The following is a 27762-nucleotide window of genomic DNA, read 5'->3' as shown; positions in this document are numbered from 1 at the left end:
CACTCTGTTGCCTAGGCTGGAGTGCAGTGGCATAATCTCGGCTCACTGCAACCTCCACCTCGCAGTCTCAAGCAATCTTCCTGCCTCAGCCTCTTAAGTAGATGGTACTACAAGCATGCACCACAACACACAGCTAATTTTTGTATTTTTTGTAGAGATATGGTTTCACCACGTTGCCCAGGCTGGTTTCGAACTCCTGGACTCAAGCAATCTGCCTACCTCGGCCTCCCAAAGTGCTAGGATTACAGATGTGAGCCACTGGGCCCAGCTGAATGGGTTCACTTCACTTTCTATAGTAAAAGTAAGATCCCATCAGTGAGCCTGGGGGGAAAAAAAGACAGGTGGGTGGGAGTGTGTGTGTTTGTGCTGTTTGTTGGAACAGACCTGTCAGGGCATCCAAGTCTTATCAAGTGGTAAGACAGTCTATCGAGTGTGATGGAAGGTGACAGAGACCTGGCAGAGGCATTCATAGGAAAAAGAAAGAACCCTGTTCCTGTTTAGGTGAAGCTGGAAACCATCAATCTTTAGTGGTACAATCTGTATTGTTTTGTGATTTTTCTTTGACAGCATTTTTATTATTCGCATGAAGGAGTAAAGGAGCAGGACTATAGTAGTTATTGAGTGGCTGAGGCAGAATGATTGGGGTACAAATAGCCAAAGATGTTGGTGAGAGAAAGTTCAAATAGTTAAGAATAGGGTATAAACTGGAGAGGAAAGGAGAGGCAAGGTGGGTGCTAGGATAAAATGGGAGGGTTGAAGGGTAGAGATATTTATGAGGAAAAAAAGGCAGGTATAAGGGGACATGAGAGACCTTCCTTTTTTTTTTTTTTTTAAATTCCATTTCTATTTGAACTCTCAAAAGAGAAAAAGAGATTGAAATGACAGAACTTTAGCTAATTTTAATTAAATAAACTTCATAAGGTTTTGTTGTTTTATAACCTTTAGAGTCAGAAAATTCTGACTCCAGTGAGAAAATGTCTTCAACAGAAAGCCAGATGGCCTCTGAGTATCATGTTCATATTTGAAATTGAAATGTAAATGTTACCACATACTTGCTTATTTTAAGGCTGTGGTCCTTTCATTTGCTTTCTTTCCTTTTTTTCATTTAGTCATGTAAATTTGAGCACCTACTCTGTGCTAGGTATCCAATGGGAAACATTATAGACACAAAGAACATTCCAATTAAACTTATATAAAAGGTACTTTAGTGTTTTTCCAGCTAGCAAACATAATGTTCTTGATTTAGTGTTATAATCTTTATTATGTTCAAAAATAATTCCTCTGTTCCAATTTAAATATATATTATCTAAACATATATATACACACATATGCAAACTAGCAAAAATATATATAAACCAGCACACACACACACACACACACACACACACACACACACACACACACACATTGTTGGATTTTATCAAAGTCTATTGGTCATCTATTAAAATGTTCATTTATAACTTGCCTAATTTTAACTATATATTTAGCCTTTAAGGATCTTTTTTAGTGTTGTATTTCTTTATAGGAAATGTCATTCTAATTCTGGAATAGAGTCTATTTGGTTGTGTTCATTCAAAGTATTGCTGGATTCTATTTATGAATATTTTCTTTGGCATTTGTATCAAAAATTTATACCACATAAAATTTAAAAAATGAGGCCTACAACCATTTTATTAATGAAAATAACAGAAAATACACTCTCAATGAGCCATTTACAATACTTCCCTATTTTCTGATTTAGAGATAAATCAGGGTCGTGTAATAGCAGTTGTGTCCAAGAAAATATAATGTCAAGAGGCCAGAATTAAATCCATACAGAAAATGATTGTGTTCATTTCAGAGTAACCTTTAAGAGGGCAATTTTGGGGAGCAGCAAGGGCAAAAGCCAAACTGAATGGGGTTAATAATGAATAGATGAGAGGAACTAGAAGCAGCTATTGCAAGCTACCATTTTGAGAACCTGCCCAAAGAAAGAAAAGACTGAAGGGATGGAAGATTGCAGAAAGCATGATCGGAGAAGAGATATTTTACTTTTAGTGAAGCTCTATACACATTTGTCTTCCTCACTAGATTTGTATCCCTAGAACCTAGAACAGAGTCAGCCAAAGAGCAGGCACTCAATACAAATTGTTGACTTGCTGCTAAAATTGTAACAGAGTACAAAGAACATCCTAGAAATTGGAGACAAAGGGGATAAGAAAACAGAGTTAACTTGGAAAGAGAAGACACTCATCTCTGACAAGACTGAAGATGATTACACAACACCATCATTGCCAACCAAGTCCTTTGGGAATACAAAGGTTAAATCCTAATCATCACAACAGTCTCTAAAGGAATAAACCTGATTTACAGATTTTGATAACAAAATACTTCTCCTCTTTCCATTTTCTACAATGCAACCAACAGCAACATCAAAGGTAGGCTTAACCAACTCTTCGAGAAAAGTCAGAGTTAATCCAGATTGTAAAGCGTCCAGGTCCCCTGTTTCTCATTTCCTCTTTTCTGTCGCTCTGACAACAGACTGGGCAGAGATGGAAAACAAAACAACTTACCAAACTGTGTAGCCTTTAGCAGCTCTGGTAAATGCATTTAGGGCTGTGTTAGGATAACTGTTAAAACGGACTCTTTAGGATAGCAAAACATTTTACTTATTTGTGTAATTTCTCTCTCCAAGTAGTACGATAAATCAGGAAGTAGTTAATATGTAAGTAAAGAACATAATGGCATAAAAATATCCCCACAGAATACACAGTTGATGTGTTTTAAAATTCACAAAAATTTTACAAAGTTGAAGAATGGGAGTAGGATAACAGGGTGATGGGGGGAAGCAGCCACAGAATTAGATAAAATGGTATAATTTCAGGTCTAAGGTGAGACACGACAGTTGCTAAAGGAAATATCTGCACTAAGATGACTTGCTAGTTTTGATCACCCTGCGTCAAAGGTAATGGGAATCTAATTGGAAAAAGATGGGCCCCGTTTTCAACATCGCTACCCTGGCAGCCACAGGCTGGGAAGGATACAGGTAAGAGCCAGGTCGGTGATGCCCGCCGCTCTCCCGAGGGCCGAGGGGGGCTCTGTCGAGGTTGTCCGATGATTCAGTGCCCAGTTCCCCGACCGCGCTCCGGGTTCCGGGCCTCCCCGCCAGCATCCTTCACTTCAGCGCCGCCTGTCTGCTCGCCCCCAGAACCTCCCTCATGGCAGCTCCGGCTTCCTCCTCCTCCTGCTCGGCCCCTCCCTACACTCCGTCTCTCAGGCCCCGCGTCACGGGCGCGGAAGGGTTGGCCTCGACAGCCCTAGCTCCCGCGCAGCGGCACTGGTGCCTGTAGCGGCGATGGCAGCTGAGGCAGCGGCGACCTCGCCGGGCAATAGCAGATGGGGCGGCAGCAACCCTGCAGCCGCCATCTTGACAACAACCGACGGCGCGTCCTTGACAACGGAAACCTGGGAGGAGCTACAGGTCGGGGCGGGACGATGTGCCCGAAGCAGCCAATCGCAGGCTCCGGCGGCCCCTCCAGCTTCGAGCGGCGGGTGGCAACCCAAGCATCCCTAGGGACCCGGGTTGTTGCGCGAGGGGTGAGCTGAGTGTTGTTTTAGAGCCTGATGCAGTTCTGCCTCCCTTTTTATGAGAGTGTTTTTGTGGCAGTACCGACAGTGACGAAAGACAGATGTAAAATCCTCAGATACAGGCAATTGCCACCGGGAGGAGTCTGCAGTGATTGTCTGGGGGACAATTTGGAGTTGAATTTGTTAAACTACTGAATCCTGTTGTGAGATTTTGAGTTGTGAGTCTTTCTGTGGCATCATCATCCCCAAACACCGTCTCTTTAAAATGTCTTTGTGAAGTGGAAATTTTCCTTCCCTGCATTCTCTCATCCACTCGGTAATGCTTCTGGCATTCCCTCTGCAGTCGTCTTCCTTGCCTTTGCCCTACTTAGAAGGTCTACATTTCAAAGCCTCCTAATGGTTCTCGCATTGCTGCCAGATTCTGGAAATGGACCATCACAGCAAAACTAGCAATCTCTTGGGAAGATATGCCAAAAGAGATCATCGCATTGAAATGGTTTTGGGAAGTATGGAAAATTAAATGGATTTTTGAGACACTAGTTTATTGGCTATGCAAGTGACAGTTTTGAAAAAGGCTGAATCTTATTGTTGGAGCCTAATGTAAATGCATATATAAATTCTGACTGTATTTCAGTCAGTGTTTTCTTGGAAAAATTCCCAGATTGGAAGCAGAAAGTACAGACCAAATAAAGATTATTCACCCACCATTCAAATGTCTCTGCCTTTGTGAATTAATTTGTTCATTTTAAGATTTCAAATAATAAACTTTTCCAGTTGAAACTGTTTAAAACAATCTTTGCAAACTTGGTTGCAATGACTCAAATTGGAATGTACACTGGCGACAGATTTTAAAGTGCCACAACAAATCCAGTTTCGATTTAAGACACAAAACACATGAACTCTCCTTCAGAAGCATACCAACAGGATAAAATATACAATTCTGACATGAAAAGCTAAATGTATACAACTGGACACTTGGCTATCTTGGCAAGTTTTTAATTGGCCTAGCCACAGGCAATGGCCTTGATTCTATTCCCACTGCTGTCATCACACGTTTGTCTCCCCATGGGTGATCTGAGTAAAGTAGGGCAGTGCAAAGTACAGATGAATATGAGAATATTAGAGTTGCTATTTGGAATATTTAGGCATGGTTAGCTTTCCAGAAGTCCAGCTTTTGCTATATTATTAGTTTGCGATCTCGTAAGTCCTAGGCATCTCACTGCTTTGTGGCTTGGTATATTAGCACTAAGAAGCATAATTTGGTTTCTCAATTGCCTATAAATCCTTTCTTACGTTAACTTAAAAAAACACGTAATTTATGAATCTAGAAAGGAGAGGAAAGGGTTACAGCCTGAAAGGAGGGCCATCCCACAAGCTGGGAGTGTGCCTCCAACTGAAGCCTAAAGAGGCAGGTACTTTGAAGGAGGGATGTTGAGGTAGGAGATTTATGCTGAAAAGTTGGCTAAACATACATAATTTATAGGATATAGGAGGAGCTATGAATATTTATGAAGGTAGTTCTGATGCATGTATATTGAACAAACAGTAACATATGACCCATGTTCATTTTGGGCTGGAGACTTAACATTTAATTGCATTACAATTAGGCCCTATTATGTCTAAATTTTTTTTAGGACACAAAGGCACTCAAGTGAGCAGTCCTCTTAAACTGGCCAGAACCACCTCATGGTTGGTGATGTTCTCATCAGGAGAAAGTTATTGAAATCAGTCTGTTGTCCAATCAAAGCTGTAGTTATGGCTTATGGAACAGAGGGTCAGTTAGTCAGTGTCTGGTGGTGAGCTACGATTGTTTTACTATTGCTTATCTCAAGGCCAGTGTTTGTTTAGCTGCTAGAGAAAAACAGAAAACTTGTGGAAGTTAAACATAGTTTATTCTTTAAGTGTAGGAGTGCATGACTTAACCCTTGCCTGGCATGGCCTTAGGTCCTATTTGTAATTTGATATCTTACTGCCACCAAGTGTCTGTTCCGTCAGTCTAATGATCTCTACTTTAACGTTAATCCTGGTCAATTGTGTCCAAACTACAACAGGAAGAGGATATAATGAGGCATAGCTGACCTTCCATCCCATTATGGCTGGGAACTCAGTTTTAAGGTTTTCCCAGGGTCCCCTTGGCCAAGAGGGGGTCTATTCAGTCAGTGGGGGCTTAGGATTTTATTTCAGTTTAGACTTATATAATTATTCTTCATTCAAATATTGTTTTACGGTAACAACCAAGAAGAAAAGAAATTTCAAACAATGTTGCCAGTTTTTTTAATCATAGGTTTTTTCGACCTTTAAATTCTTTCTTTATTTCTTCAAAATATTAAGTGGGTTTTCCACATTCTATTTAAGTTGTAGAATCCTAGATTCTTATAGAAAGGCAGGGCCCAAGGGGCTCTGAACATCATGATGCTTGATTTTGTCATGACTTTTTTGTCAGTGTTATTTATGGAAAAAGGCTTTAGGATTAGATATTTGGATAATAAAAAATTTGAGGATTTTATCAACTTCATCTCTTGACAGGAAAGGCAGTTGTGATTCAAGCAGTAAAGAAGAATGTTACCCTAAAATCCCTATTTTTTATCAGAAGGGGCATCTGAATTAAATACAATGTTATATTCTTTCACACTTTAAAACCATAAAACAATTCCTTCTTTTGCTAAGGAAATATATATTGAGCACCTACTATGTGCCAAGCACTTTCCAGGTGCTAGGGATACAGTGAATAAAACTTCAAAGTCCTTATGTTCGTGAAGCTTATATTTATTTTTCTTCCCCACTAGAACATATTAGGGTAGTGAAAAGTGCTACATGGAAAGTGGGATAGTGAAGGGGGATAGAGACCAATGTCAGTTCTATCTGTGAGAGGGTGCTCAGGAAAGGCCCCAAAGGAAGGGAAATTAGGACAGAGGTCTGAATGAAGGAAAGAGGTTGCCATTCAAATATCTGGATGAAGAATAAGGGCACAGGGGTCTGTGAGTACAGAAGACTGTGAGGACAGAATCATACTGTTGTGCTCAAAGAACAGCACAAGACCACTGTTGCTGGAATAGAGTGAGGTAGGGTGTATTAGGCAGTTCTCGCACTGCTATAAAGAAACACCTGAGAGTCGGTAATTTATAAAGAAAAGAGGTTTTATTGGCTCATGGTTCTGCAGGCTGTACAGAAAGCATGGCAGCATCTGCTTCTGGGGAGGCTTTAGGGAGCTTTTTACTCATGGTAGAAGGAAAAGTGGGAGCAGGCATCTTACATGGCAGGAGCAGGACTGAAAGAGAGAGGGGAGGTGCCACACACTTTTAAAATGACCGGATCTCATGAGAACTCACTTACTATTGTGAGAACAGCATCAGTGGGGATATCTGCCCCCATGATCCAATCACCTTCCATCAGGCCCTACCTCCAACATTGGGGATTACAGTTTGACGTAAGATTTGGGCGGGGAGGCCTGGCATGGTGGCTCACGCCTGTAATCCCAGCACTTTGGGAGGCCAAGACAGGTGGATCACCTGAAGTCAGGAGTTTGAGACCAGCCTGGCCAACATGGTGAAACCCCATCTCTACTAAAAACACAAAAATTAACTGGGCGTGGTGGCAAGCGCCTGTAATCCCTGCTACTTGGGAGGCGGAGGAAGGAGAATCGATTGAAACTGGGAGGCAGAGGTTGCAGTGAGCCGAGATTGTGCAATTGCATTCCAGCCTGGGTGACAGAGCAAGGCTCTGTCTCAAAAAAAAAAAAAAAAAAAAAAAAAAAAAAAAAAAAAAAAAAAAAAAGATTTGGGTAGGGATGCAGGTCCAAACCATATAATAAGGGAAGTGTGCTAACATATGAGATTGTAGAGGTACATGGCCCAGATTTAGTGGCGACTTGTATTGTATGCAAGGACTTAATGTAAAATCCAACTTTCAATGGAGGGAAATCCATTTGAGAGTTTTGATTAGAAGAGTAACACAATTTTATTGAACCTTTAAAGAGACCCTCTAGTTGTTGTGGGGAAAACTAGGTTGTAGGAGATAAGACCAGAAACAATAAGGACAGTTTTAAGGTTACCAGAGATGGCAGACTTGGACTAGGATGGTAGCAGTGGAGGTGGCAAGAAATGTTTACAGTTTGAACCTTGAGCCAATAAGATGTGTTGGTGGATGGTTGCAGTAAGCGAGAGAAAAAAAGTCAAATGTGACTCAGATTTTTGGCTCAAACAATTGGATAAAGTGTGTTGCCATTACTAAGATGGGAAAGAATAGGTAGGGGTGGAATAAGGAATACGAGTTAGGCTTCAAACATGTTAAATGTGAGATGTCTATTAGACATGCAATTTCATTAATGTGGTCTCATAAATCGTTGATGTTTTATTTACAAAGGAAACTAATAATAACCACTTTATGGTTATAAAGCATATTCACATAACTTATCTAATTTGAATATATATATATATATATATATTTTTTTTTTTTTTTGAGACGGAGTTTTGCTCTTGTTGTTCAGGCTGGAGTGCAATGGCATGATCTCGGCTCACCACAACCTCTACCTCCCGGGTTCAAGCAATCCTCCTGCCTCAGGCTCCTGAGTAGCTGGGATTACAGGCATGCGCCACCACGCCCAGCTAATTTTGTATTTTTAGTAGAGACAGGGTTTCTCCTTGTTGGTCAGGCTGGCCTCAAACTCCCAACCTCAGGTAATCCGCCCGCCTCAGCCTCCCAAAGTGCTGGGATTACAGGCGTGAGCCACCGCGCCCAGCCTGAATATTATTTTTAGTATCTTTAGAACAGAAAATAAACAGAATTTATTTGAGCAAAGAATGATTTACGAATTGGGCAGCACCCAGAACAAGAAGTTCAGAGAGCTCCACCCAGCAGCATGAGCAGCAAGATTTTGTTGGACACAGAAACAAAGTAGAGGAATCATGTGATTGCCTACAGCTAGGTGTTTATCTTATTTGGGTATACTCTGATTAGTTGGCTGCCTATGATTGGCTGAAACTCCACTATTTGTTACAAAAAATATACTCCTAAGTCAGGCTGCAGTTTGCTACAGAGGAACTCAAAGTACAGAGACAGCCTCAGGCAATGGCCTCCTGCTTATTTAATTTAACAAGTATTATAACCATGTGGCAGCTGTGATGGACAATTTTTTTGTGCTTTCACTTTTGTCTTGGCTGAGGCTATTTTTTTTTTTCCATCTTCCACTGAAGTATTTTCTTGCTCAAATAAGAATTTCCTGAATTGGTCTCTGGGCAAGATGTGAAAGAACAAAGAATTTTAACATCTGGCTGATTTAAAGTTCTGCCAACTTCTGCTGAAGTTCTGCCATTTTCACTTGAATTTTGTAAGACTTCAACTAGAAATTTAAGATTACAATATGTGTATTTGCCTATTAATATAAATTATAAAAGTCATCAATATTGTCCGCAATGTTACATATCTTTTAATCCATACAACAATTTCCATAATACAAAGGAGGTAATCAAGCTATAGCAATATTAGTAACTTTGTCCAAGATTCCAGGGTAAGGGAGTGTTGAAACTAATCTTTAAATCAGGCAATCTGGTCTTGGAGCCGGCACTCCCAACCATCTCATACTGTCTCACTGGAGAAACTCTGAGAAAGTGATTGCCACAAATAAGAGATATGATTGTTTGGGTTTAAATAGTAGGTGGTGAGGAAGGAAAGTCAGAGAACAGATAATTATTTTAAGCTGTTTCTTCATTAAGAAAATATTTGAGTGCCTCTTGTGTATCAGTCATTGTACTAGTACCATAAAAACTATGGCAGTTCTCAGGTTAGGAAAGGAGATGGAGAAAATAATGTCTCGAACCAGAAGGAAGATGCAGGAAAGTTTTGCTTTGCCTCTTAATTTTAGAATAATGAAGACTTAGGCATGTGTGTAGAATGAAGGGAAGGAGACATTGAAAGGGAAAATTTGAAGACATTCATCTATCAACCTTCAAAGAGTGGTCATTTTCAATAATATTATTTCTCTGATGTTCAGAATTTTTACAGTTTTAACAAAATAGTTGTAATTAGATTACAACTAATTACAGATTAATTACAGTCTTAGAAATTTGCAATTTTTTTTTTTTTTTTTTTTGAGATGGAGTCTCACTCTTTCGCCCAGGCTGGAGTGCAGTGGCGTGATCTCGGCTCACTGCAACCTCTGCCTCCCAGGTTCAAGCGATTCTCCCTGCCTCAGCCTCCCTAGCAGCTGGGATTACAGGCACCTGCTACAACGCCCGGCTAATTTTTGTATTTTTTAGTAGAGACGAGGTTTCGCCATGTTGACCAGGCTGGTCTTGAACTCCTGACCTCAGGTGATCCACCTACCTCAGCCTCCCAAAGTGTTGGGATTACAGGCGTGAGCCACTGCGCCCAGCGTTGAGATTTGGCATTTTAAAAGTATATTTTAAGTCTGAATTATCTGCTCTGGATGTCCACCTCGATCAAATTTCTACTTAGCATTTTATAGAAATAGTTCCAAGGTAATATTTTTCCCACTCCATCAGTCATTTCTACTTCCTATTTTTTTGCAAGCAGTTTGCAATTATTGATGTATAGCTTATCAAAGCCATTTTTTTTCCCAAGGCAAGAAAAGGCTGACTCACAAAAATTAGATGAATTTATAAATTCATGCTTTATTTATCTGTCTACATCTGTCATTTATTTATTTATTTACTTATTTATCTATTTGTTGCCTATATTGCAAAAGCTTGGATTTATAATACAGACATGAAGTGATAAAAAAGGAATTGTACAATTTAAAATGTCAGGATCTCCAGAGGCTACTTTGTTTTTCATATGAAGGGTGTTGTTTCAAACCAGGGCATGGAAACTAGTAAGTTTTGGCTTATGTTTTTGTTGTACGCTTTCCAGAGGTTTTTAACTGAAGACTCTATGCTCTGTAGTTCTTTCCACAAAGAGCTGACTGATATTTGAAGAAGTGTTTTCATCTATCCAAGAAAAATATGATGTCTCCATCCCAAGCCTCACTCTTATTCTTAAATGTATGTATTTTTATTTGTGGAGAAGCTGTACAAGGTAACTGTGTACATCATTCTACGGTAAGAATTTTAGCAATATTATATTAGCTAGGAAAGCATGATTAGCTTTCAAGATATATATTAGAATTTTGAAAAGATTAATCATAACTACCAAATATAATTTATGGAACAATTAAAACATGTATTTAGAAATGTTGAAAATTGCTTTAATATTACTGTATTTAAACTGAGGAAACTATAAACTGAGGATTGATTCAACAGATATGAAAATATTTTGAAGACATTTCAGGCCTAGATTAAAAACTAGCCCACAACTTTTCAATGAAATATCTGATAGGTAGTAAAAAATCACTTTGCTTAAAAAAAAAGCTGTTCCACAAACTTTCATATTTCAAATATTGTCCTGTGAGTGGCTACCCAGGAAATTAAGAAATTGGTCCGTTTGATTTTATTTACTCATCAGGTTTATTTGTGGAAGTTTGAATTAAATAGCTTATATTTCTCTCTAATGATCAGCCTTGTCTTTCCTGAAATCTAAGCTTTTCTCTATAGTCTTTTTTATTATGTATTAGGTCATATAACATGTTTAATGTATTTTTTTCTTATTTCTATTTTTTAATATAAAGGACTCTTCAGTAGTTAACATTGTAGAAGATGGATCTAATGCAAAAGATGAAAGTAAAAGTAATGATACTGTTTGTAAGGAAGACTGTGAGGAATCATGTGATGTTAAAACTAAAATTACACGAGAAGAAAAACATTTCATGTGTAGTAAGTATTAAAAATAAACAAAATAATAAGAGTATATGATTCATTATTTTTAGGGTAGACACTGAAAAGTATACTTTAGCTTTTGTCTGGGTCATTTTCTATACATCCTGATCATCCTAGGCCAGAAGCTTTATTGTTTGGCCCATAATAGGTGCTTAATAAATATTTGGTAAATGAATGGATCCTTTCTCTATGTAGCTAATTCTGTGTGCAACAAAAGGGTCTCAGGCTTCTCAAACCAATGAGTGCAGCTTTAGACCTATTAAGACAGATGGCTAAATTCAGGAAAAAGCTAATAGAAAGTGACAGACTGAAAATAAGAAAGAGAGAGGAAGCAGAGTGAGGTAGAATTAAAAATATCAAGATTTTTTAATGTGATTCTACTGCTGGTGGAAAGAAAGTTAGAAAATAAAATTTTAAAGAATAACATACGTAATAGTGTGTGGGCCCTTTTGTTATAGGGGGCAACATTATTACTATCTTGGGTAAAACTCACATAGGGTCTGAGAAATATAGGTAGTGAATGTTTATTTCCTAATTTTGGTGGTATGTTATTAGAAATGTCTTTGGTGTAAGAAATATACACTGAAATAGCATGACGGTACATCATGGCAACATGGTCTCAAAGGCATTAGGAAAAAGTTATTTGTACTGTTATCGCAACTTCGCTATAAGAAATTTTCTCTTAAGATAAAAACATTTTTAAAAGGAAAATGTATAGTAAATGTTTAGTCAGAAACCAAATAACCAAAACCTTTGACTAACATTTATTATGTGTATGTATATGTATGTGCTAGCAATTTAATTGTGTAAATATAGTATTAATAGAAAAATTAAAACAAAGATGTACTTTTTAAAATTAACTTGCCTGGTATAAAACTGTCACCACTAACTTTCTTTTACAGTAAGAATTGATGAATCCTATAACTCCTGCCTCTATATATCTCATCTTATAAAGTGAGAATTTATAATCAGAACACTGTCTCTTAATGATAACAGATTAATTATTCTGGGTAATCTATATTAGTAGGAAGCATAGTTTCATTAAGAAGTATTGAGACAATCATTTCTGGGGTTAATCCTGAGTTAAACAAAAGATATACTAACTAAAATATGTAATTCTGAGTATTAAGATAAATTGAGATAGTATTGAGTTAACATACATATCCAAAATCAGGTAAAATTCACTATTTTTCACTGTAATTGTTTTCTGTAACAATATAATATTTAACAGCCACTTTTTATTATGGTTAAGGAAATTTGCAAAATTCTATTGTTTCCTACACAAGAAGTACCAAAAAACTACTAAGGAATATGATGGATGAGCAACAAGCTTCCTTGGATTATTTATCTAATCAGGTATAGATGTTTTAGTATTGTGTTGTTATTGCATGTACACGTTGATGTATAGTTAGCTGGAGGTATAATCTTTTTTTAAAATGCATTCATGTTCAGACATCTATTTAGCGCCTACCATGTTAGAGGCACCATAGTAAACTTTAGGCAAACAAAAAGCAGTAAAAAAATCGAACTTAATTCAAGGGGTATGGTCTAGTGGAGCATTAAAATGTGTTGACAAAAATGTGGTTGCTAGAATGGCACAAAAGAGAACTCTCAGATACAAAAAGCTTCCCAGAGGAGAAAGTCTGTTAACAGTCATGAAGGATGAATAAATGTTTTAAAAATCATAAAGGTTGGGTAAGGCGAAGAGGACATTCCATTCTGGGGAAACTTCTTGGTGTTGGTACAGGGTGGAGTGGCTGGTGAGGTTGAGTATTTAAGGAAAACTGACTATAGGAATAGGCAAGAACGAAGTCATACCACACCAAGGAGCCACTGTAGTGTTTAAGCAAGGAAATGCCACAATCTGATTAACTTGTGTGGCCAATGACTTGAGGAAGAGCCAAAGGAGGAGGTAAGAAACTACAGCAATGGTTTGGACAAGGTATGAAGGGCAGATGTGCAAGAGCAGCCAAATGCAGAAATCGGGGCAGATAAAATCAACGTTAAGGAGGTAGATACTACGAAATTTAATGATTGCTATTTAGCTTTGCCTTTATTCTTTGTTAAAGCAGTAAGAAATCAATCTAGAAAAATGGGCACCATTACGTATTTCAGAGCTGGGTTTATGAGAGGCTTAGAGATGGCAATTTCTTCAAATATAAATTTACTTAAATGTGTATGCATGTGTTTAGGTTAACGAGCTCATGAATAGAGTTCTCCTTTTGACTACAGAAGTTTTTAGAAAACAGCTGGATCCTTTTCCTCACAGACCTGTTCAGTCACATGGTGAGAACTTTGGTATTTCAGCCTTTTCATGTTTGTCTTTTATTGCTTAAAATTTTCCTGGACAGGTCGATCCATTTAAAAGTTTTATTTAAAAACTACAGCTCACCGTTCTCTAACAGACTGGAGGGCTAATACCTGCTATTAAGCAAATTTCACCATAGACAACGTGTACTTTCTTAAAATGGGAAACTTTTTCAACCATGTGAAAGCCATGGCTGTATAAAGATATCCTGAAGCTGTTGAAAATAACATAGCTTTCTATAGCTTTGTTCTGGACTCCCAGTTTATATCTTATTAATAATTCATCTTCAGATAGAAGAAAAGAAAGTTTCAAAGTTCCTCCCACCTGTAAAAAATGTTTTTGACATGTTTGAAATGTTTCAAATTGGGGCATAAAATTTGAAAAGAAAAAGAAATGTAAGACAAGAATAAACTGAAAGTTAGCACTTTTTATACTAAAATACAGCATATTAATTCCTAGAGGTTTGGACTTCTAAGAAAAATACCCTATAAATCTTATAAATATGAATTTATCCCCAAATGTTTAAAGCAAATAAATATTATTGAGGGCCTAGAACATGATCTTTATGTCCTTCTTCGAAAAAGAAGACAATAAACAGTGCCTAAAAATCTTCTATGTGATAGGTAGGAAGACAGGCACTTTCTCACATTATTTTGTTATTAAAATTATTTTATTATATCTCATAACTGCCCCAAAGCAGGCATAATGTGGTAGTCAGGAGCATGGACTCTGATGTCAGACTCCTTGGTTTCAAATTTCTTGCTTGCTGCTCTCTTGATATGTTTTCTCATCAGTAAACTGATAGTACCTACCTCTTACAGTTGATGTGAGGATTAAGTGAATAAATACAGGAAAGTCTCTTAAAATATTGCCCGAATCAAATGTTTATCACAAGGAAATAAAAAAAATGCCCGAATCACAGGCAGAACAATATAAGGGCTTGCTTGCTATGATCATCATCATCAGATAAGAAATATCCAGCCCAGAAAAATCGAAATAATCTGTTCACATTAATTTGAAAGGTAATGACATAGCAGACACTCCAACCCAGATCGGTCCTTCAGCGTGAACTTCTTTCATGTCTCTGAGCATAAAGTCATTATAAGAATATCTCTTAACAATTAAGGATACAGGCAACAACAAATCTATGTCTCCCAGAGACGAAGGGGAAAACAAGTGACTTTTTATAGCTAACTTTTTGTAGATGGCATTTTCTTCATTATTTGGGTGTGCTGGGCACTATGGTAAAGGCTTTATGTAATACCTTACTACGTAAATAGTTAGGATAACACTATGAAGTAAAGTGTTAGGAGTAGAACTAGGATGTTAAGATGGGCATTTGGATAATGGACGCTCTAAGGGTTGAATTTATTTCACTTATAAAAGATGCTACAGAGTAGAGTATCTTCCAGAAAATGTAATATCCATATCCACATACACGTGTTTACAATCCTGGGGAGATGAGTGCTTTGGAGAAGGTGATTATGGGGTGCTATAATTCTAACTGTTGTTAACAGAGTAGGCTCTAACATCAGGCATAATTTCTTGGGGAAGAAAGTGATTTTCCCCTTTCTTCCTTTGGCTACTTGTATTAGTGGTCCCAAACACATCAGTCTCTGAAGTTGGGAATAGAATAGTGAAATATGTGTCTGTAGTGGTTAATCTACTTATTCCTTTTGGTTTTCTCCTCCCTATTCATGTAGATTTCCTTTACACATTACATTCTCTAAGATAAACCTAAATTTCTGAAATGGCATTATTTATTGGTAAAGAGAATGTGTAATTATAAAATATGTTTAATAAGTGTTGATCCCAAATGAAACTTTTAAATAGTATAGGAAACTAATCACTAACAGTGACATTATAAGTGAAGGCTTATTGCAGCATAAATTCTTTAATCCCTTATATTTTCTTTTTATTTCTAAAATTGTGACCATTTTTCATTTTGAAGAAGTTAAAATAATATAATAATGAAAATTATGATAATAGCACTATCAATTCTCTATAGTAAAATGATTGCCTTAAATGTACATTTGAAAATATCCCAATTAAATAATTTTGCTTTTCTAGGTTTAGATTGCACTGATATTAAGGATACCATTGGCTCTGTCACCAAAACACCGAGTGGTTTATACATAATTCACCCAGAAGGATCTAGCTACCCATTTGAGGTATTTCCCGTATTTGAAGTTTTCCCGTATTATGTGGGCTAAGATAAACATCCAACCAATTTAATTTATGTTAAAATTTAAATTGTTTTAATATTTAATTTTTCCTCAAAAAATTTTAAATAAATTAGGTAAAGTTCTACTTTCAAAATTTTGGTTTTTTAGAATTCTAATGCCCAAAACATGAATTAATAAAAGAGCTAGAGTCTGTCTTTCACTTTTCTATTTGAGTTTCCATGGTTATACTCTTTAAAGTAAATCCATGTGATGCAAAAGCTTGTATTATCCTCGTAACAGGCAGAACTATAGCAGGCAGAACTATGCAATATAAATACTTGCTTGCTTTAATTAGCCTGTGGATATTGGAAAATAATGGTGTGCTTTGCCTTGGAGCTTACTAAAAATACTTTTGACTTCCCTTCCTGTATATGGTTATAATTTCTTCTGATGATAGATGATTTTATGTGATTGTATGAGAAATTAATAATTAAAAAACCTTTCAGTGGGGTACAAGGCAGACTGAAAAGCTGATTCATTCTGAAATTGATAAAATAAATTACTCTTATGTCTATTCTTAGTAGTTCTCTGCAAGGATATCTAGTAGAAATTTCTACTAGAGACTATGCATATTGATGGAATATATATGTGTGTGTGTATATATACACACGCACACACACATACAGTTATATATATTATATATATATTTTCCTGGGCACTTCTTTGTGCAGAAGAAAGTTTATGATACTTATACCTTATTGATAGTCTTTATTGGATAATAAAGTCACTTTTTTTCTAAGTAAATACTACCGGTTTCTCTTCTTAGAGTTACTACCATTATTTTATTTGGAATCTATTGACAAGATGTCAAAAAATTGGAAATTAGGTGGGAAATAATTTTAAAATTACCTAAGTTACTTCACCTACAGATTCAAAACTGGATCTGAACAGATGTGGAAAAGGAAGGCTTCTAATTTTATGAAGAGTGGGATGCATAATCACCTCTTTTGTGGGAAAGTGCTGGTTCCTTAACTTCCTCCACACTGCCTTTTCTCTGTCTCTATGCGGGAAGTTTCTGAGGGAGAATTTTGCTCTGATTTCTTCCCTATATCGCTTCTATGGGTGCCCTACAGAGGTCCTTTTAGGGGCATTTTACACAGCATCAACAGATGTGTCTATGAGCACCTGCTGAGTGGGCACAGATCATGCCTTTCTCTGAAAATGCCAGTCTGAAAACAGGCCTTCCAGGTTTGTGGGAGAAAAGAGCAAAGACAAGCACGTGAAATATTTAGCCGTGCACACACACCCCCCCACCCCCAGTGTTTTAATTCAAAATTTAGTTTATAGAGAAATACATTGCTCTGCCACATCAGAGCAATACTGTTATACAAACTGAAGAATATTTATAAAGTTGAGTAATAAGAGGATAACTTTAAAATGCTGCAAATACGGCCAGGCGCGGTGGCTCACGCCTGTAATCTCAGCACTCTGGGAGGCGGAGGCGGGAGGATCACGAGGTCAGGAGATCGAGACCATCCTGGCTAACACAGCGAAACCCCGTCTCTACTAAAACATACAAAAATACAAAAGAAAAAAAAAAAAAAAAAAAAAGCCGGGGGTGCTAGCGGGCGCCTGTAGTCCCAGCTACTCGGGAGGCTGAGGCGGGAGAATGGCGTGAACCCGGGAGGCGGAGCTTGCAGTGAGCCGGGATCGCGCCACTGCACTCCAGCCTGGGCGACAGAGGGAGATTCTGTCTCAAAAAAAAAGGGGGGAAAAAAAAGCTGCAAATACATATTTTTAAAAATGATTGTTATAAGGACTGTGATTAAGTTAATTACAAATTTGTTTGATAATAAACAGTATTATTTAGGTTAATTACAGGTTTGCTTTATAATAAACAGTATTATTTCTAGAAATATAAAAAACATCTGAATAAATTAATGGCATATGATTGCATTGAAAACTCAGTGGCAGTACCGTCTCTTTTTCTAAGCCTAAGGATGAAGCATGAGTGTTATATTATCAAATAATGAAAATAATAGTGTATTATTTTGGTCTTCTCTGTGCTTATTTTAGGTAATGTGTGACATGGATTACAGAGGAGGTGGACGGACTGTGATACAGAAAAGAATTGATGGGATAATTGATTTCCAGAGGTTGTGGTGTGATTATCTGGATGGATTTGGAGATCTTCTAGGTTAATTTTTTTGTATTTCTACTCTACATTGTTTACTCTTTTTGATATTATATCTATAGAGCCTCTATTGGTCAGATCTGTAGTAAAAATAGCAAATGCTTGCAAATATCAAAATATAACTTAAATCACCCTCTTTTCATATGCCAGATTATTTAAAATAAGTAGGTCTTCAGTGGAGATCTGGAAATCTTTATTTGTAGATATCTGGTGAAATGTGATTTGAGTGAAAATTCTAGATTGGATATGTATTAAGTATCTATTATGCACCCAGCAGAATTCTGGCAGGTGCTCACCAACGGTTTGCAGAACGAAAAACTGAATGGCAGCGTTGTCCTAGATCTTAAAATTCTTGAGAGGTGTGTTGTATCTATACAAGCCAATGAAATGGCGAATTGAGGTATGTGTCTGTGCAAACCCAAATTATTTAAACTGAGCATATTATTAAAATGTCAGTAAACATCATTATGCTCAAAATTTGAAAATTATAACCTCAGGTCAATGTAAAATCTGTTTACATTATTGCCACATGGCACCATCACATTTGCTGGTAAACAGAAACACCAATATTTCTGAACTTTGCAGAATTTTACATTAATTGGAACTTCTGCCAGTGAGTTTACTAATTTTTATGCTATTTTAACAGTTACTGTTTTTATAATTGTAAATCTTTAATCTCTCATAATAATGTCATCCAAGGATTTGGTAAGTGGTGGTGTCAGTCCTAGTGCTAAAAATGCTACTGAATGCCAGTGATTTTAGAAGCAATTTGGCTTATACCCAGGTAACTGCCATGCTCTGGAGTATAGTGAATTTACTTGCATTTTCTCAGCATTACTTCTGATTTTTCCATTGAGTGCTTCTTCTTGAATTAGGTAGTTATAGATCCATATGCAGGCTTTGCCATCTTCCTTACTTCAAATTTATTTCTATGGGGAAAGAATATGAGTTTTGACTAACCAGGTCTTCAGGCAGGTATACTGCATACAAACTGAGACTGCTTTGTACTGGTGTATTTTGGAAACAAATTTGGGGCTGGGTGTAGTGGCTCACGCCTGTAACCCCAGCACTTTGAGAGGCCAAGGCAGGTGGATTGCTTGAGGCCAGGAGTTTGAAACCAGGCTGGCCAACATGTTGAAACCATGTCTCTATAAAAACACAAAAGACGGATTCACAGCCAAATTTTACCAGAGGTACAAAGAAGAGCTGGTGCCATTCTTTCTGAAACTATTCCAACCAGTAGGAAAAAGAGGGACTCCTCCGTAACTCTTTTTATGAGGACAGAATCATCCTGATACCAAAACCTGGCAGAGACACAACAAAAAAAGAAAATTTCAGGCCAATATCCCTGATGAACATTGATGCGAAAATCCTCAATAAAATACTGGAAAACTGAATCCAGCAGCACATTAAAAAGCTTATCCACCATGATCAAGTTGGCTTCATCCCTGGGATGCAAGGCTGGTTCAACATATGCAAATCAATAAACATAATCCATCATATAAACAGAACCAATGACGAAAATTACATGATTATCTCAATAAACGCAGAAAAGCCCTTTGATAAATTCAACACTCCTTCATGTTAAAAACTCTCAATAAACTAGGTATTGATAGAACGTATCTTAAAATAGTAAGAGCTATTTATGACAAACCCACAGCCAATATCATATTGAATGGGCAAAAGCTGGAAGCATTCCCTTTGAAAAACAGCACAAGACAAGGATGCCCTCTCTCACCACTCCTATTCAACATAGTATTGGAAGTTCTGGCCAGGGCAATCAGGCAAGAGAAATAAATAAAGGGTATTCAATTAGGAAAAGAGGAAGTCAAATTGTCTCTGTTTGCAGATGACATGATTGTATATTTTGAAAACCCCATTGCCTCAGTCTCAAAGTTCCTTAAACTGATAAGCAACTTCAGCAAAGTCTCAGGACACAACATCAATGTGTAAAAATCATAAGAATTCCTATACACCAATAACAGAGAGCCAAATCATGAGTCAACTCCCATTCACAATTGCTACAAACAGAATACAATACCTAGGAATCCAACTTACAAGGTATGTGAAGGACCTCTTCAAGAACTACAAACCACTGCTCAAGGAAATAAGAGAGGACACAAACAAATGGAAAAACATGCCATGCTCATAAATAGGAAGAATCAGTATCATGAAAATGGCCATACTGCCCAAAGTAATTTTTTTTTTTGAGACGAAGTTTCACTCGTGTTGCCCAGGCTGGAGAGCAATGGCGTGATCTTGGCTCACTGCAACCTCTGCCTGCTGGGTTCAAGCGATTCTCCTGCCTCAGCCTCCCGAGTAGTTGGGATTACAGGTGCCTGCCTCCATGCCCAGCTAATTTTTGTAATTTAATAGAGATGGGGTTTCACCATGTTGATCAGGCTGATCTTGAACTTCTGACCTCAGGTGATCCACCTGCCTCGGCCTCCCAAAGTGCTGGGATTACAGACATGAGCCACTGTGCCTGCCCAGAGTAATTTATAGATTCAATGCTATTCCCATCAAGCTACCATTGACTTTCTTCACATAATTAGAAAAAACTACTTTAAATTCCATATGGAACCAAAAAAGAGCCTGTATAGTCAAGACAATCCTAAGCAAAAAGAACAAAGCTGGAGGCATCATGCTACCTGACTTCAAACTATACTACAAGGCTACAGTAACCAAAACAGCTTGATACTGGTACCAAAACAGATATATGGACCAATGGAATAGAACAGAGGCCTCAGAAATAACACCACAAATCTACAACCATCTGATCTTTGACAAACCTGACAAAAAAAGCAATGGGGAAAGGATTCCCTTTTTAATAAATGGTGCTGGGAAAACTGGCTAGCCATATGCGGAAAACTGAAACTGGATCCCTTTCTTTTACCTTATACAAAAATTAATTCAAGATAGATTAAAGATTTAAACGTAAGACCTAAAACCATAAAATCCCTAGAAGAAAACCTAGGCAATTCCATTCAGGACATAGGCATGGGCAAAGACTTCATGACTGAAACAACAAAAGCAATTTGAACAAAAGCCAAAATTGACAAATGGGATCTGATTAAACTAAAGAGCTCCTGCACAGCAAAAGAAACTATCATCAGAGTGAATAGGCAACCTGCAGAGTGGGAGAAAATTTTCGCAATCTATCCTTCTGGCAAAGGGCTAATATCCAGAATCTACAAATAACTTAAACAAATTTACAAGAAAAAAACAAACAAGCCCATCAAAAAGTGGGCAAAGGATATGAACAGACACTTTTCAAAAGACGACATTTAAGCGGCCAACCACATATGAAAAAAAGCTTGTCATCACTGGTCATTAGAGAAATGCAAATCAAAACCACAAGGAGATACCATCTCACACCAGTTAGAATGGTGATAAGTAAAAAGTCAGGAAACAACAGATGCTGGAGAGGATGTGGAGAAATAGGAACGCTTTTACACTGTTGGTGGGAGTGTAAATTAGTTCAACCATTGTTGAAGACAGTGTGGTGATTCCTCAAGGATCTAGAACTAGAAATACCATTTGACCCAGCAATCCCATTACTGGGTATATACCCAAAGGATTATAAATCATTCTACTATAAAGACACATGTACATGTACGTGTATTGCAGCACTATTCACAACAGCAAAGACTTGGCACCAACCCAAATGCCCATCAATGATAGACTGGATAAGGAAAATGTGGCACATATACACCATGGAATACTATGCAGCCATAAAAAGAATGAGTTCATGTCCTTTGCAGGGACATGGATGAAGCTAGAAACCGTCATTCTCAGCAAACTAACACAGGAACAGAAAACCAAACACTGCATATTCTCACTCATAAGTAGGAGTTGAACAATGAGAACACATGGACACAAGGAGGGGAACATCACACACAGGAGCCTGTCAGGGGGTGGGGGCTAGAGGAGGGATAGCATTAGAAGAAATACCTAATGTAGATAACGAGTTCATGGGTGCAGCGAATCACCATGCCACATGTATATCTGTGTAACAAACCTGCACATTTTGCACATGTGTCCCAGAACTTAAGTATAATAAAAAATAAACACAAAAATTAGCTGGGGGTGGTGGTGCATGCCTCTGTAATCCCAGCTACTTGGGAGGCTGAGGCATGAGAATCGCTTGAACTGGGGGGAGGCGGAAGTTGCAGTGAGCCGAGATCGCACTACTGCACCGTAGCCTGGGTGACAGAGTTAGACTCTCAATAAATAAATAAATAAATAAATAAATAAATAAATAAATAAATAAATATAGGATTACAGAAAATGTATTTTTAAGTCTTAAATTTGAGGGTGGGGTACTGGGAAATGATGGCAGGGGCACTTAAATTGAAGTGTTGTATACTGTGTGAGACTCAGTGGACCCCTCTGGAGCCATTTTACTGGGCCCACTTTCTCTCCTTACTTTTCGATTGTAAGTGAGCGTGTTGCTAAAATGTCTGCCCCTGTGAGCTCTGAAGAAAGACTTAATATCTTAGCTATAATTTGAAGAGTTTGAATGCTGTCATGTTATTCTCCAACTCTGAAGTTTGTTTTGACTGGACCCTTATTTTCTTTAATAATTTTATGATTCAAGTAGAGGCATATATCTCAGAGCAGAGATATACACATTTGGGCTATGCCACGTGGGTAGGGAGAGGTAGAAAGCCATTGGCTAGAATATGTATGCAAGAAGTATGCAGTCCGAGTTGGGGAGTTTTATATTTCATCCTGAATCTATAATTGTCTTGGAAATATTGATCCTAAACCCGGGGATATTCCAATGTTATTACATTATGTTCAGGGCATAGGAAATTAACCAGCTGCATTGTAGCAAAGAAGTGTCTGTTAAGAAAGTATTCCAAGACAGAAAAAAATAATTTCAACTGAGTGTTTTTAGGAAATTTTTCTTCAGGAACCGCTGATTTGGAGGTTAAACCTTCTCATTTACTGGTAAATAACGTTTTGTTACCTGCCATAATATTTCAATTGGTTTTATGTTGAAATGCCTTAAGGTAAAATTTGACTTTCTATTTTATTCTTTAAATGAAGACTAATTTAATTTTGGGAGATAAAATTTGGGGAGATCATTATTATCTTCTCTCCTCAAATTTTACTTAATTTGGGGAGATAAAAATGAAAAAGGGTCTGATTTTCTCAAGTCTGGTGAAGTAGAAGTAGGAATTTTGTTTGTTTTATGAAGTAGGTAAGCACTGATAATTTGAGCTAGGTCATCCAGTGCCTTTAATTACTTATCTGAGCCATCTCAGAGTTTTTGAAATGCTAAACAAGACCAAACATTCAATAATAAACCATTATTCTAATTTGTATTAAAATATATTAAAACAAAGCATTTTTTTTACAGGAGAATTTTGGCTAGGACTGAAAAAGATTTTTTATATAGTAAATCAGAAAAATACCAGTTTTATGCTGTATGTGGCTTTGGAATCTGAAGATGACACTCTTGCTTATGCATCATATGATAATTTTTGGCTAGAGGATGAAACGAGATTTTTTAAAATGCACTTAGGACGGTATTCAGGAAATGCTGGTAAGATTTTTTTTATTCCTAAAATTATCCAGATCTAAATTATAACTGACTCATTATTAAGTGAAGATAAAAATAATGCATTTGTCTTTGTATATAACACATAACTGATAACAGGATAGATTAGGAATAAGAAAGCTGGCCAAGTCTTGAGTTTTGAAACTTTGTTATGATCATTGTACTACCTCATGCTTCTGAAGTGCTTTATAGTCTCTAAAACAATTTGCCTTATGTAATCTCAGTTGATTCTTTGGATAGAGAGCCTGTGGAGTAGGCTGTGAAGGCATTTTCATTTTCATGTTCAGAGAGGCTGACATTTAGAAGTGACAGACTGTTAGAGATGATCTCTAGTCATCTCACTTTACAGGTGAAAAAACCTGAGTGATAAAGTGACTTGCCCAACGTTCCCAGATCACGTCACCTGAGCCAAGGCAAGAATCCAGGCTGACAGAACAACAAGTTTAGTGTTTTTTCATTATACTTTGATGCATCTGCTCATTTCCAAATAAATTTAATTTGTCAGAACTTCAAAATACTTGATGTTAAACTTGCATTTTAATGCTGAAAATGTAAAGGCATTTGAGTTAAAAAGCACTAAATTCAACTCCCTTGTTGCTGTTTGTGGTACTTGTTCATTATGTATATTTAGTGTTAGAAATCAAAAAATAAATGATATATGTTCCCAGGTCTTTAACTGCTCCCAATATAAAGGGGAAGATAAGTAACACTGGAAATACAGAATACTGATAGAACTTTTGGGGTCAGAAAGAGGGTGAGAATGATTTCAGTTGATTGCACCCAAAAAATATTCATGGAAAAGCAATTTTTAACAAGCTGTTAATGTTAGATTCAACATGGGAAGCTTTTTAGAAGTATATATTCCTGTAGAATCTGATTCAGTTATTTTAAGCCAGATGGATATGTTGGCATACTTGTAGTTGAGAACCACTGATCTAGTCTTGGAAGAATGGTTAGGCTTTTAGCAAATGAAGGCTGACAAACAGAGCAGCTTAAGTTAAGGCATAGAGGGAGGAAAATTATAGGTCACAGAGAGTTGTCTGACATGGTTGGAATCTATGATACCTGAGGGGTTTACACTTGTGATATTAGGTGAAAGTCTGAAATTCCAATCATGATCTATAGGGAAAAGTTTAAAAAGTTACAATATATGATTTTCAATGCTTGCTCTCTAAAAGTGCAAAGAACTATCTAAAGGTGGAATATACTATATTAGGAAAAGTTTATGTGGGGATTCTCTGAAAGATGACTAGGATCTAATTAAAGGATAATATTGATAATGGCAAAAGTTTTTTCGTTACAAAAGTCTCAAATTTTGCCATACTGTACTCTACATTTTCCCAACAAGGTTATGAAGTAACTTTCAACTGTTGATCACATAATGTAATCAAAAGAATAAAAGAAAAAGGTGTCAGCAGAATGTAATGATAGAAATACAGATAAAACCAATGGGTTAAATGTGATCAGGTGTTTGGTAAAGGCAGGTCACAAATTTGGCTTTGAGCTTGGAGCAAAAACAGAGATATGAATTTGAATATTTGAGCAACACACTTGTTCCACGAGAATCCCAACTATTCCTGATTATAAGACTTGAGATAAATGTCTCTGGATTCTTAGGGAAAAGAAAAGTGTTATGTTCTCCAACCACACTCTCACAGAAAACATGATGGCTATATTATAATAGGCTATTTTTAAGGAAATAAGCCTATGCATATATTTTTTAAATGAATTAAATAAAATCTCTTGAGGAGCTTATGTGCTATATGATCCTTCTGGTGGTCGGACTTTATCTAGGGAGAGTATCCATGGAGTGATCACATTGTTTAGGCAATGCTCCATGGGTATTGTCTCTCACTGGAACTTTGGAAAAGTATCACACTGTGTGGGTGTTGGAGATTATATATTCTCTGAAAATACCTACAATGTGTGTGTTTTGTTTCCCATGAAGTGCAGAGTCAGAGACTTTAATAATCAGCAGAACTGGGGTATAGGATAGGCCACCACTGCTAATGAAGTTCTTCAGGCTCTTTCAAAAGATTTATCTCAAGAGATGCCAAACTTTCAGAAATAATGAAACAAACATAGAGCTTGGTTTCTCCACAGATTGCATATGGCTTCTTTTTTAAATTAGTGTTTCAAACATTAGCCAAAGCTTACATATAGGTGAAATGGAGGCATTATGGGTTTACTTAGAATCTTTAACTTTATGGAATTTTATGAAACAAAATATGACTCCTGCTCCTGCCACTGAGTTAACTGGGTCATCTTGGACAAGATACTTAATCATTGCAGGGTTATTGTAAATACGAGGGATACCATACATACAATGTTCAGGCCAGAAGCAGTGGATCACGCCTGTAATCCTAGCACTTTGGGAGGCCGAGGTGGGTGGATCACTTGAGGTCAGGAGGTCAAGACCAACCTGGCCAACATGGTGAAATCCCATCTCTACTAAAAATACAAAAATTAGCTGGGTGTGGTGGTGTGTGCCTGTAATGCCAGCTACTTGGGAGGCTGAGGCAGGAGAATCGCTTGACCCTGGGAGGTGAAGGTTGCAGTGAGCCGAGATCATGCAATTCCACTCCAGACTGGGGGGACAAGAGCAAAACTCTGTCTTAAAAACAAAACAAAACAAAATAAAACAATGTTCAGTAGAAGCCCTTTAAAAACGGTATTGTCTTAACTACTATCCAATTGGTCCATAAATCATGTGAAGAGCCGTGAAGAAAAGGTACACCTCAACAGTATATCTGAATTTTTCTTGAGGGCATTTGGTATTCTGTATAAAGTTGATGGCCCCTAGAAAAAAACCCCAACTTCTGTAACTGTAAATCTAAATTTCTTAAAGGTAAAAGTTTCTCTAGCTAAAGTGACATAAATGGTAGTGGTAAGGAAACCTACCCTGTGTAAATTAATTTTTTTCCTAAATTATCAATTATCATATTGGTCTGTCCAAATTATGACAGCTCTGTATGCTATAATTTTTGGCCTAAATTATCTGGTTTTGTCTACACAGCAAAACTCCATTTTGGACTGTGACTTTTATATCAAATATTTATTTAAAGATGTCTGTTGTGTTGGGGAACTCATCACCAGATTGTGGCATGTTGAATCTTCGAGTAGGAGAATTTTAACATGATAAACAGTAGGAAAATAATTTAAACCCTATTTCCAGATGTGGTGCTCTTGCCTAATATGCTGGTAATGATTAATTAAAATAATAGAAATTTCCTTTAAATTCGATCATTAAAAATTTTTTTCCCAGGTGATGCATTCCGGGGTCTCAAAAAAGAAGATAATCAAAATGCAATGCCTTTTAGCACATCAGATGTTGATAATGATGGGTGTCGCCCTGCATGCCTGGTCAATGGTCAGTCTGTGAAGAGCTGCAGTCACCTCCATAACAAGACCGGCTGGTGGTTTAACGAGTGTGGTCTAGCAAATCTAAATGGCATTCATCACTTCTCTGGAAAATTGCTTGCAACTGGAATTCAATGGGGCACGTGGACCAAAAACAACTCACCTGTCAAGATTAAATCTGTTTCAATGAAAATTAGAAGAATGTACAATCCATATTTTAAATAATCTCATTTAACATTGTAATGCAAGTTCTACAATGATAATATATTAAAGATTTTTAAAAGTTTATCTTTTCACTTAGTGTTTCAAACATATTAGGCAAAATTTAACTGTAGATGGCATTTAGATGTTATGAGTTTAATTAGAAAACTTCAATTTTGTAGTATTCTATAAAAGAAAACATGGCTTATTGTATGTTTTTACTTCTGACTATATTAACAATATACAATGAAATTTGTTTCAAGTGAACTACAACTTGTCTTCCTAAAATTTATAGTGATTTTAAAGGATTTTGCCTTTTCTTTGAAGCATTTTTAAACCATAATATGTTGTAAGGAAAATTGAAGGGAATATTTTACTTATTTTTATACTTTATATGATTATATAATCTACAGATAATTTCTACTGAAGACAGTTACAATAAATAACTTTATGCAGATTAATATATAAGCTACACATGATGTAAAAACCTTACTATTTCTAGGTGATGCCATACCATTTTAAAAGTAGTAAGAGTTTGCTGCCCAAATAGTTTTTCTTGTTTTCATATCTAATCATGGTTAACTATTTTGTTATTGTTTGTAATAAATATATGTACTTTTATATCCTGA

General features: G+C 36.9%; 2 protein-coding genes across 5 annotated transcripts in view, besides 1 other annotated feature; one reads left to right on the top strand and one right to left on the bottom strand.

Annotated features, from left to right (window-relative positions):
- The window catches only part of CEP126 (centrosomal protein 126), an 86053-nt gene extending 82627 nt beyond the window's left edge, over positions 1–3426 (bottom strand). For both annotated transcript variants that reach the window (NM_001363543.2, NM_020802.4), the window contains exon 1: positions 3024–3426. Coding sequence is in view for 1 of the 2 variants with exons in the window: in NM_020802.4 (NP_065853.3) it covers positions 3024–3151 (128 nt within the window). In the remaining variant the exon portion in view is untranslated. The remainder of the gene's footprint in view (positions 1–3023) is intronic.
- On the top strand, positions 1914–27762 carry ANGPTL5 (angiopoietin like 5). 3 transcript variants are annotated; one of them, NM_178127.5, is made up of 9 exons: positions 1914–2417; positions 10435–10622; positions 11189–11333; positions 12589–12692; positions 13529–13622; positions 15715–15815; positions 17886–18006; positions 23372–23557; positions 26838–27762. In NM_178127.5, exons 2-9 carry the CDS (start codon positions 10527–10529, stop codon positions 27155–27157), a joined length of 1167 nt encoding a protein of 388 aa, NP_835228.2. In that variant the 5' UTR covers positions 1914–2417; positions 10435–10526; the 3' UTR covers positions 27158–27762. The 3 variants fall into 3 exon arrangements, with proteins under 3 accessions (NP_835228.2, XP_011541037.1, XP_016872955.1); XM_011542735.4 differs by lacking the exons at positions 13529–13622; positions 15715–15815; XM_017017466.3 differs by lacking the exons at positions 12589–12692; positions 13529–13622; positions 15715–15815; positions 17886–18006.
- Positions 3408–3507: an enhancer, noted in NCBI's record as "active region_5433". NCBI's record gives its function as "activates an Ori minimal core promoter by ATAC-STARR-seq in GM12878 lymphoblastoid cells {active_cell/tissue: GM12878}" and the evidence as "EXISTENCE:reporter gene assay evidence [ECO:0000049][PMID:35858748]".

Source organism: Homo sapiens, chromosome 11, assembly GCF_000001405.40.
Source record: "Homo sapiens chromosome 11, GRCh38.p14 Primary Assembly".
In the NCBI taxonomy this organism is placed as follows: Eukaryota; Metazoa; Chordata; class Mammalia; order Primates; family Hominidae; genus Homo; species Homo sapiens.
Note: the sequence above shows the minus strand (reverse complement) of the source record. Positions and strands in the feature narration are given on the sequence as shown.